The following is a 12219-nucleotide window of genomic DNA, read 5'->3' on the forward strand; positions in this document are numbered from 1 at the left end:
TAAGAAAATGGGGGTGGGAGAACACACCAAGCTCTGAGTGTCCTCAGCCCACCCCACTCTCTGAGCACAAAGGAAGCCGGCCCTGGGCATCTTGGGGAGAGAATGTAATTCTGCTCTCACGGCAGCAGGAGGCTGTTCTGCCATCAAGAAGCAGACTCCGTGGAGGCCATCGGGAAGAACATCCAAGGAAATGTGAGTCCAGCAGCAAGCAGGGACAGAGGGTTGCGCAGTGGTGAAAAGCACAGGCTCACAGTCAGATGGATGTGCTGAGAATCCCTGCTCTACTGCTACCCAGCTGGGGGACCTTGGACAAGCCACTCAACCTCTCTTCATCTGTCAAGTGGGATCACACAGGTTTATTGTCATCATGGAATGAAATAATTAGGTAAATCGCCCAGCCCTGGGCCTGGCACATCAGAAGTGCCAGTCACATGTCAGAACTGTTCTTGTTCCCATCATATCGACAGCATCTTCCTGCAAGGAGCCCACAGTCCTCTACGGGAGAGAAGATGGCCATTTAGAGGATGCAATTAGAGAATGAGGAGCACACAACTAAATCGTAGGGCACAGATACTCATTCAGAGAAAGAACAATGGGCGGCTCCAGGGCACGTGCAGGGTGCAGGCCAGAGGAGGCTGTGGAAGCAGGAGTGCGGCTGGGGTGGGGAGGATTGGCACGGGGGCAGCTGACACCAGGCAGGCCCAGGGTGAGGTCTTGGTGAGCAGGAGAAGGTGTGAGCTGAGCCTAAGAAACACTCACCAAGAGGGAGTTGAGGCGGCAGGCCTCAGTGCAAAAGTCAGAGGAGGTAACAGCAGCAGAAAGTGAGAGTTCACAGAATGCAAAGACAAGCAGAAGCCAACCCTGCCTGAAACGGCTGTGAGAACCTCAGTGAGCCTGGCCAGGTCCTGAACTGCCGAATGTGGGGTGGTGCGTGGCACTGAGGCAGGACTAAGCACCCCCTTGGCCAAGCATGACTACGTCCTGCTCCGACATACCCACGCCGAGCTGGTGAGCTCAGAAGAGATGCAAAACGTAACCTCCTGGTGATGGCCAGCACATGACATCTGGACTACAATTCTGTCCCAGGCCGGGCGCAGTGGCTCACAAGAATCCGAACACTTTGGGAGACTGAGGCAGGCAGATCACCTGAGATCAGGAGTTCGAGACCAGCCTAGCTAACATGGCGAAACCCCATCTCTACTAAAAATATAAAAATTAGCTGGGTGTGGTGGTGGGCGCCTGTAATCCCAGCTACTTGGGAGGCTGAGGCACAAGAATCGCTTGAACCCGGGAGGTGGAGGTTGCAGTGAGCCAAGATTGCACCACTGCACTCCAGCCTGAGTGACAGAGTGAGATTGTGCCTCGAAAAATAAATAAATAAATAAATAATAAAATCCTGTCCCTAGGACCACACAGAGGGGCAGTGCAAGGAAAAAGGCAGGTTCTCTGTGACTTGGTTTCCCCTTCTGCCAAAGGAAAACTAGCCCCAGCACCATCCCTGCCTCCCACCTTCTCGGGATGTCATGAGGAGACTGCACGAGGTCCTGTGGCCCAAGCATGAGCAATAGCCATCTGAGCGCCCCTTTGTGGAGCTGCGTGCCGGCGACAGGTGAAGGCACAGCCCTTTAGGAGCTTCTGCCTCTTCTTGCCTCAGAGGACTTCTCTACAGATCACGAGAGGAAACACGTGGTAAGAGCAAACCATAGTGTGCCAAGTATAACTCACTCCCTATGAAACCAAACAACCGCCAAGATGCACTTCTGCTGCATTTTTATTTTTCATAACTTTTTATGACACAAGTAGCACATGATCATTGTAGAGAGACGAGCACATTTCATTTTAAAATTTAAGAGGGAATTTAAATCTCTCATTTTCCCACCATGCAGAAATACACATTAAATACATATAAAGAATTTTTTTAATTAATTTTTTTCGAGACAGGGTCTTGCTCTGTCACCCCGGCTGGAGTGCAGTGGCGCAAACTTGGCTCACTGCAACCTCTGCCTCCCTGGCTTAAGTAATCCTCCCACCTCAGTCCCCTGAATAGCTGAGAGTATAGGCGCACACCACCACACCTGGCTATTTTTTTTATTTTTTGTAGAGATGGGGTCTCACTGTGTTGCCCAGGCTGGTCCCAAACTCCTAAATGCAAGCAATCCACCCGCCTTGGCCTTCCAAAGTAGTTGGGATTACACAGGTGCGAGCCACCACACCCAGCCAATACTTGTATAGAATTTATTAACAAAAATAGAATGAAAGAATGCTGTTTTGTAACCTGCTTTTTTCACTTACCAATATCTTTTCTGTTCATCATATAACCTTTTTTTTTTTTTTTTTTTTTTTTTGAGACAGAGTCTCGCTCTGTTGTTCTGTCTCCCAGAACCTGGGAGGTGGAGGTTGCAGTGAGCCAAGATCACGCCACTGTACTCCAGCCTGGGTGACAGGGTGAGACTCCATCTCAACAACAAATTTTTTTTTTTTTTTTTTTTTTTTTTTTGTAGAGACAGGCTCTCACTATGTTGGTCAGGCTGATCTCCAACTCCTGGTCTCCAGTGATCCTCCTGCCTCGGCCTCTCAAAGTGCTAGGATTACAGGTGTGAGCCACCATGCCCAGCTGATCAACTCCATTTTAAAAAGGTGGAGGGTGGGAAAGAGGACTCAGGCCATAAGTAGTAAAACTAGTTAGTATTCAAATTCAGGTCTGTCTGAGTACCAAGGCCAGATTCCTCGTGGTAGAAAGATGCATAGCAAATATAGAGTCTGATGTAATAGAGAATGAGACTATAAGCAAAACATATTTACAGTCTTAATATTGCTTATGCACTTTATAGATTTAAAATGTTTATGTGTATTTCCCTATGGCTGAACTCAGTGTGGGGATCCGGTGAGCCAATGAATGCACATACATCAGGTAGTCCGTGGAAACCACTTTTGTCCTTTACATGTGTTTACAATGACAAGAGTGGGCCATGAGTATTTATAAGAACTACATGGATTTCTCAGTGCTTATTTCCTTTTCTTTTCGATATTATGTTTAGACAACCTATAACCTTCACTGGTCATCTATTTTAATGAAGAGCATTAACCTAATTCTAAAAACATTTACTAAACTAAAGAAAAAGTATTTTATGGCTGGGTGCAGTGGCTCATACCTGTAATCTCAGCTCTTTAGGAGTCTGAAGTGGGCAGATCACTTGAACCCAGGAGTTCGAGACCAGTCTGGGCAACATGGTGAAACCCCGTCTTCACAAAGAGTACAAAAATTAGCTGGGCATGGTGGCATGGGCCTATAGTCCCAACTACTCTGGAGGCTGAGGCAGCAGGATTGCTTGAGCCTAGGATTTGGAGGCTGCAGTGAGGCATGATCGCTTCACTGCACTCCAGTCTGGGTGACAAAGCGAGAACCTGTCTCAAAGATATATATATTTTAGATTTTGTAGAAAACTTAAATATTTAACCACTTTAAGACATGGGAAAATGCTGAATTATATTAAAGGACTCAGACAAGCTACAGAAGAGACACTGAGAGAATGTTGGAGGGATAAAAGGAACTTCAAGAGAAAAAGATCAAGAACAATGATGAAAGAGAATCGTAAGTAGAAGGACTCATATAGAACCTCAGTACTGGAATAGTCAGTAAGTTATACCCAAAGTGGAAGAACATGATGTAGGAAATACGGAACACCACTGCGCACTGCTTGGCAAGGTACCAGGACAAGGCCAGGCGCGGTAGCTCACGCCTGTAATCTCAGGACTTAGGGAGGTTGAGGCAGCCGAATCGTCTGAGGTAGGAGTTCGAGACCAGCCTGGCCAGCATGGCAAAACCCTGTGTCTACTAAAAATACAAAAAGTAGCCAGGCGTGGTGGCGCACGCCTGTAGTCACAGCTACTCAGGAGGCTGAGGCAGGAGAATCACTTGATCCCGGGAGGTGGAGGTTGCAGTGAGCCAAGATCGTGTCCCTGAACTCTAGCCTTAGCAACAGAGCAAGACTGCCAAAAAGAAAAAAAAGAAAAAGAAAAAGAAAGAAATACCAGAAGAGTGTGACATATTGAATACAAGCGATCACCATGATGAAGCGCCTTCCCTCCATGCACCCAAAATTTGCCACACTGACTCTATTAAGAGTCACTGACAGAAGAACCTATAGAGAAGACATGAAAATACAACTCACAGATGGCTTTGACATCAATGGTGCCAAAATTCAATTACCTTCTGGAAACAATCTACTCATTTTTCTAATGCACATCCAGATTTTCTAGTTGATCTCATCACAAATTGGAATTCAATCATCCATTTAAAAAAATTCACTGAGTGCTTATCTATGTATCAGGCACTGTTTCAGGCAATGAGGATCCTGCAGTTGTAGGCAGGGAAAGGAGAACAAACAAACAAACAAAAAATCCCTGCTCTCATAGGGCTTACATTCTGGTGGGGGAAGACAGATAATTAAATAGGTAAGTGAATAAATAAACAAACTTTATAGTCTGTTGGGTGGTGATAAATGCTCTAGAGAAAAATAAGTCGGTAAGTAGAGATAGGAAACATCATGGAGAAGTCGGGAGTTATGATTTTAAATAGGGCCATCAGAGGAGGACTTTTTGAAAAGGTGACTTTGGTACACAACAAAACAAAACAAAACAAAACAAAAAACACCTGATTAAAGGATGGACGGGAGCCATGCAGAATTTTGTGGAGGAAGGGCATTCCAGGTAACAGGTGCAGGGGCCCTGAAGCAGGATGTTGCCTGATATAGTCCAGAAACAGCAGGGGGAGCCAGTGTGCAAGGAGTTGAGACTAGAGAAATGGTGCAGGGAGAGATTGTGCAGGGCCGTGGCGCAGGGCGTTCTAAGGCCTCTGATTTTGACTCTGAAATGGGAAGCCATTGGGAAGTTTAGAGCAGAGATGTGACCTAACGTGAAACATGTCAGTTGCACTATGTGGAGACTAGACTTGGAGGATTCAGGTGGAAGGAGGCCAATTAGGAGTCAATTATAATAATCAGCAATAAATGATGGTGGCCTGGACCAAGGTGGTGAGAAGTGGGAAGATCCCGGATGTATGTCAAAAAGCTGATATGTTAGAAGTAGTGCATGGGAGAGAGGAGTCAAGAGTCGCAAGGCTGGGTGCAGTGGCTCAAGCCTGTAATCTCAGCACTTTGGGAGGCTGAGGTGGGCAGATCACTTGAGACTCAGGAGCTCAAGACTAGCCTGGGCAACATGGTGAAACTCCAACTCTACAAAAAATAAAAAAAATTAGCCAGGCATGGTGCGGCATGCCTATAGTCCCAGCTACCTGAGAGGCTGAGGTGGGAGGATCACTTGAGCCCGGGAGGTTGAGGCTGCAGTGAGCCGAGATCATGCCACTGCACTCCAGCCTGGGTGACAGAATAAGAAAGATCCTGTCTCATAAAAAAAAAAAAAAAAACCTGCAAGATTTTTAATCTGAACAACTAGTAGGATGCAGTTACCATTTACTGAGATGGGGACCACTTTGGAGAAGTAGTTTGAGGAGCAAGATCAAAAAAGTGTGGATATGGCCAGGTGCAGTGGCTCACACCAGTAATCCCAAAACTTTAGGAGGTCGAGGCAGATGGATCACTTGAGGTCAGGAGTTCGAGACCAGCCTGGCCAACACGGTGAAACCCGGTCTCTACTAAAAATACAAAAATTAGCTGGGCGTGGTGGCAGGTGCCTGTAATCCCAGCTACTCAGGAGGCAGAGGCAGGAGAATTGCTTGAACCTGGGAGGCGGAGGTTGCAGTGAGCGGAAATCACGTCACTGCACTCCAGCCTGAGCGACAGGGCAAGACCCTGTCTCAAAAAAAAAAAAAAAAAGTTTGGATGGGCACATAGGTTTCGAGATGCCCAGCAGACATCCAGCTGGAGGTGTGGAATAGGCAGAGACACATCAGGAATTCAGGGAGCACTGGACTGGAGGTGAGCCCTTAGGAGTGATCAGCATACAGTATACTTGAAGCTGAGAAACTGAACCATTGTCATGGGAGTTAGTATAGAGAAAATAGGAAAGAATTCCAAGGACAGAATTCTTTTTTTTTTTTTCTGAGATGGAGTCTTGCTCTTGTTGCCCAGGCTGGAGTGCAATGGCACAATCTTGGCTCACTGCAACCTCTGCCTCCCTGGTTCAAGCGATTCCCTGCCTCAGCCTCACAAGTAGCTGGGACTGTAAGTGCACACGACCACACACGGCTAATTTTTTGTATTTTACTAGAGATGGGGTTTCAACCTGTTGGCCAGGATGGTCTCGAGCTCCTGACCTCGTGATCCGCCCACCTCGGCCTCCCAAAGTGCTGGAATTACAGGCCTGAGCCACCGTGCCTGGCCCCAAGGACAGAATTCTGGAGTTCTCTAACATGTAAGGGTCAAGGCGATAAGGAGGAACCAGCAAATGAATGGCCTGCAAAATGATGCAAATAAACAAGGACAAATTACACAGAGAACATGTAATAGCTTGAACTTGGATAGCGTTCTCATACCTCACATTCCTTTTACTCTACCAATACATATGCAAAACAGTTTCTTATTCATTTTCAATGCCCATGAAGAATTCACAGGAGGCCGGGCGCCATGGCTCATGCCTGTAGTTCCAACACTTTGGGATGCCCGAAGGGGGCAGATCGCTTGAACCCAGGAGTTTGAGACCAGCTTGAGCAACATAGTGAGATTCCATCTCTACAAAATAATTAAAAATTAGTTGGGTATGGTGGTGCACACCTGTAGTCCCAGCTACACTGGAGGCTGAGGCACGAGGATCCCTTGAGCCCAGGAGTTGCAGGCTGCAGTGAGCTATGATTGTAGCTGTGAATAGCCACTGTACTCCAGCCTGGACAACAGAGCAAGACTCTGTTTCAGGAAAAAAAAAAAAAAGGCCGGACGTGGTGGCTCATGCCTGTAATCCCCGCACTTTGGGAGGCTGAGGCGGGTGGATCGCCTGTGGTCAGGAGTTCAAGATTAGCCTGGCCAACGTGGTGAAACCCCATCTCTACTAAAAATACAAAAATTAGCCAGGCATAGTGGCGCGCACCTCTAATCCCAGCTACTCAGGAGGCTGAGGCAGGAGAATCGCTTGAACCCGGGAGGCAGAGGTTGCAGTGAGTGGAGATCGTGCCATTGCACTACAGCCTGGGCAACAGAGCAAGACTCTGTCTCAAAAAAAAAAAAAAAAATTCACAAGAACAGATTTTTGACAGAATCTGTTATACCTTCTAAAACCTGCATTTAGACCCAGAAAACTGTATTTGTCCTCAAGAGTTTGATTATTAAGTTACAATGAGATTATTGTCTTTATTATGATATTTATGAAAATAAAATGTTATTAATAACAAACTAAGCTCAGTTGGGCACAGTGGCTCACGCCTGTAATCCCAGCACTTTGGGAGTTTGAGGCGGGCAGATCGATTGAGCCCAGGAGTTCAAGACCAGCCTGGGAAACATGGCAAAACCCTGACTCTACCAAAAGTAGAAAAATTAGCCAGTCTCAAAACCTGGTCTCAAAATAAATGGATAGATAAAAATATTAAAAGAACCTGTGTAAAATATCCCAATTTAAAAAAATCTAAATGCATTGAAAAATGACTTCAAGTATGTAAAACATTTGGGCCGGGCGCGGTGGCTCGCGCCTGTAATCCCAGCACTTTGGGAGGCCGAGGCGGGCGGATCACGAGGTCAGGAGATCGAGACCATCCTGGCTAACACGGTGAAACCCCGTCTCTACTAAAAATGCAAAAAATTAGCCGGGCGTGGTGGCGGGTGCCTGTAGTCCCAGCTGCTCGGGAGGCTGAGGCAGGAGAATGGCGTGAACCCGGGAGGCGGAGCTTGCAGTGAGCCGAGATCGTGCCACTGCACTCCAGCCTGGGCGACAGAGCGAGACTCCGTCTCAAAAAAAAAAAAAACAAAAACAAAAAACAAAAACAAAAACATTTGATGGGATAACAATGGATAGCTTTTTCTTCTCAGTGCTTTTTAAATTTTTCCAAATTTTCTAAAATGAATGAGTGTATTTTTAAAAATACAAAATAAGCCAGGCGTGGTGGCTCATGCCCATAATCCCAGCACTTTGGGAGGCCAAGGCGGGCGGATCACAAGGTCAGGAGATCTAGACCATCCTGGCTAACACGGTGAAACCCCGTCTCTACTAAAAATACAAAAAATTAGGCAGGCATGGTGGCGAGCACCTGTAGTCCCAGCTACTCAGGAGGCTGAGGCGGGAGAATGGCATGAACCTGGGAGGTGGAGCTTGCAGTGAGCCGAGATTGCACCACTGCACTCCAGCCTGGGCGACAAAGCGAGACTCCGTCTCAAAAAAAAAAAAAAAAACTAAAAAAGCTACTACCTGGTGAACTTCAAAGCCCAACAGAATGAAATCAAAGCTATTTCATCCAGTGCTCTAATTAGAAGCTAAGGGCTGCTGCGTGTAGCTCTGTAGGGAACAGGAAAAGGGTATTGGTTTGGTTTGATTATTGTAAAATCAACATGAAGAAAGAAGTTGAAAAGGATCTGTTTAGAAAACAACATAACAAAATATTAATATATTAGTAAATTGGCAAACAAAGTTCTAAATTTTAAAAGCCAATACTCAAAAGGATGTGGCCAAAAAATTATATATTCTCTTTTTTGTTTTTTTGAGACAAGGTCTCCTCTGTCTCCCAAGCTGGACTGCAGTAGCACAATCAAGGCTCACTGCAGCCTTTGACTCCTGGGCTCAATCGATCCTCTCTCCTCAGCCTCCCAAGTAGCTGGGACTACAGGTGGGTGCCACCAAGCCCTAAAATTATATATTCTTATATACTACCTCTCTCTCTGTGTGTGTGTGTGTGTGTGTGTGTGTGTGTTTACACACACATTAATTTCGGAGTCAATAAAAGTTGTTTTTTGTTGTTTTTTTTTGAGACGGAATCTTGCTCTGTCTCCCAGGCTGGAGTCTACACTCCAGCGCAATCTCAGCTATCTGCAACCTCCGCCTCCCGGATTCAAGCTATTCTCCTGCCTCAGCCTCCCAAGTAGCTGGGACTACAGGCACATGCCACCACGCTAGGCTAATTTTTGTATTTTTAGTAGAGACGGGTTTTCACCATGTTGGTCAGGCTAGTCTTGAACTCCTGACCTCGTGTTCCGCCCACCTTGGCCTCCCAAAGTGCTGGGATTACAGGCGTGAGCCACTGTGCCCGGCTCTTTTTTTTTTTTTTTTTTTGACACAGAGTTTCGCTCTTGTTGCCCAGGCTGGAGTGCAATGGCGCAATCTTGGCTCACTGCAACCTCCTTCTCCCAGGTTCAAGTGATTCTCCTGCCTCAACCTCCCGAGTAGCTGGGATTACAGATGCCCGCCACCAGGCCTGGCTAATTTTTGTACTTTTAGTAGAGACAGGGTTTCACCATGTTGGCCAGGCTGGTCTTGAACTCCTGACCTCAGGTGATCCACCCACCTCAGCCTCCCAAAGTGCTGGGACTACAGGTGTGAGCTACCACACCTGGCCAATAAAAGTTCTTTAAATTCCAACGGTAGAGCAAACTTGGTATTCAGATTCCTTCCAGGTTTGACCAAAAGTGCACATGAGGGTCACTGCTGTGAGCCCAGGAAGGGTGGGACTGGGCACCGGTTGATCCAATGTGGCTGTTCCAAGGCTGCCCACACAGCCTCACCCAGGAGTCCTTCAAAAGCCCACAATGTGTGTGTGTGTATATAGTGTGTGTGTGTATATACGTTTGATTATTGTATATACACACATTCTTAGTGTTGATGCATTTCAGCACAATCTTGTTTTTTTGTGGGGTTTTTTTTGTTTTTGTTGTTTTGAGACAGTCTCCCTCTGTCACCCAGGTTGGACTGCAATGGCGTGATCTCAGCTCACTGCAACCTCCGCCTCTGTGGTTCAAGCGATTCTTGTGCCCCAGCCTCCTGAGTAGCTGGGATTATGGGCGTGTGCCATCACGCCCAGCTAATTTTTGTATTTTTAGTAGAGACAGTATTTCACCATGTTGGCAAGGCTGGTCTGGAACTCCTGACCTCAAGTGATCTGCCCACCTCGGCCTTCCAAAGTGCTGGCATTACTGGCGTGAGCCACCACGCCCGGCCACACAATCCTTTTTGAAAGCAATTTAGCAATATGAATGAAGAACCATAAAATGTGCATGTACAAAATGGTACAGCCCCTGTGGAAAGCAGCTTGGCAGTTTCTTATAAAACTAAGATACAACTACCATATGACCCAATGATTGCACTCATGGGCAATTATCCCAGAGAAATAAAAATTTACGTTCACACAAAACCTTGTACATGTATTTTCACAGCAGCTTTATCCATAATAACCCCAAACGGAAAACCACCAGATGTCTTTCAAAGGGTGAATGGTTAAACAAACCATGAATACTCTGCAATAAAATGGAACGAACTATTGATACACACAACTTGGATGATCTGCGGGGAACAATGCCGAGTGAAAAAAGCAATCCCAAGAAGTCACATACTGTATGATTCCATTTATGTAACACTTTTGAAATAACAAAATGGCAGAAATGGAGAACAGATTAGTGGTGGGAGGAGGTGGGGGGAGGGAGGTGTGGCTATAAAAGGGCAACTAGAGGGATCCTTGTGGTGATGGAAACTTCTTGTATCTTAACTGTACCAATGTCAATATTCTGGTGGCAAGAGGTTACTACTGGGGGAAAACGAGTAAACAGTACTTGGGATCTCTCTACATTATTTCTTACCACTCTACATGAACCTACAATGTTCTCAAAATAAAAAGTTTAATTTAAAAAATGTTTTTAGAGATAGGGTCTTGCTGTGTCACCCAGGCTGGAATGCAAGGGCTGGATCATAGCTTACTGAAATCTCCAACTGCCGAGCCTTTCAAGCGATCCTCCCACCTCCGCCTCCCAAAGCACTGGGATTACAAGCCTAAGCCACCGTGCCTATCGCAAATATTTACTTAAAAAAAAATCTTCTTTTGGCCAGTTATCCCAGGACGGGAAATCTATCCCGGGAATATAATCCAAAAGAAAACAAAAACAAAAACAAAATCGAAAAAAAGCAAGTCAAATGTACCAGACATTCACTGCAGCATTATTTAAAACAGGGAAAAAAGAAACAATCAGGGAAATACTTAAATCATGATACAGCCACTGGAGAACTACGCAGTCTTTGATGTCGCAACAGAGAAATGTTATTTGAAAAAGGAGGATACAGGCCAGGCGTGGTGGCTGATGCCTGTAATCCCAGCACATTGGGAGGCCGAAGCGGGTGGGATCACTTGACCTCAGGAGTTCAAGACCAGCCTGGGCAACATAGTGAAACCCCGTCTCTACGAAAAATACAAAAAAAAAAAAAAAAAAAAAAAGAAAAAGAAAAAATTAGCCGGGCGTGGTGGCATGCACTTGTAGTCCCAGCTACTCAGGAGGCTGAGGTGGAAGCATGGCTTGAGCCTGGGAGGCAGAGGTTGCGGTGTGTTGATCGCACCACTGCACTCCCGTCTGGGCAACAGAGAGAAACCTCGTCTCAAAAAAAAAAAAAAGAAAGAAAAGAAAAGAAAAAGGACACGAAATTGTGATACGACAACTCTGTGAAGACTACTAGATACATTACAAAATTTTTAATAGTAGTACTCTACGTGGCATTCTGGTAGAAATGATTTCCTTTCCTCAAACTCCCCATAATATTGTTACATGGTTTTTATACGGTCTGGGGGATGGGGGATAACATTAAATGACACCTTTTATGTTAAATCACAAACGCTGGAGTCAACAAAAGTTCTTTAAATTCCTCCAGCAGTAGAGCAAACTTGGTATTCCAATTCCCTCCAGGCTTTGACCAAGAGCGCACACGAGGGCCACCGCCTTCGTGATCAGAAGCGGGTATGACTGGGCACCGGTTGGTCCACTGCGGCTGTTCCAAGCTGCCCCCACAGCCTCACCCCAGGACTCCACCAGGAGCACAGGGAAGGGGTCCCCGAAAGTGGGCGAGGTCGCTGCCCGGAGGTAATGACCACTCCAAGGTCACCATGGAGAACCCGCAGACAGGGCTCGGTGTGGCCCAGGACTCCCCGACTCTTAAGTCCAGGTCTCACTCTCTGCGCCGCGCCGCGCCCCTCGCCCCATCCCGAGCAGCTACCCCGAAGCTCCCAGGGGCTCCGCCGAGGCGAATCCTCACATTGCGGCGTGGTGGCCGACAAAACCCGGGACCCTGATCTTGGCGCCTCCACGCCAC

At 46.6% G+C, this 12219-nt stretch overlaps 1 annotated feature.

Annotated features, from left to right (window-relative positions):
- Positions 4648-4942: a silencer, noted in NCBI's record as "tiled region #11422; HepG2 Repressive DNase matched - State 12:CtcfO". NCBI's record gives its function as "represses a minimal TATA promoter and a strong SV40 promoter by Sharpr-MPRA in HepG2 cells {active_cell/tissue: HepG2}" and the evidence as "EXISTENCE:reporter gene assay evidence [ECO:0000049][PMID:27701403]".

Source organism: Homo sapiens, chromosome 8 (assembly GCF_000001405.40).
Source record: "Homo sapiens chromosome 8, GRCh38.p14 Primary Assembly".
Taxonomy (NCBI): Eukaryota; Metazoa; Chordata; class Mammalia; order Primates; family Hominidae; genus Homo; species Homo sapiens.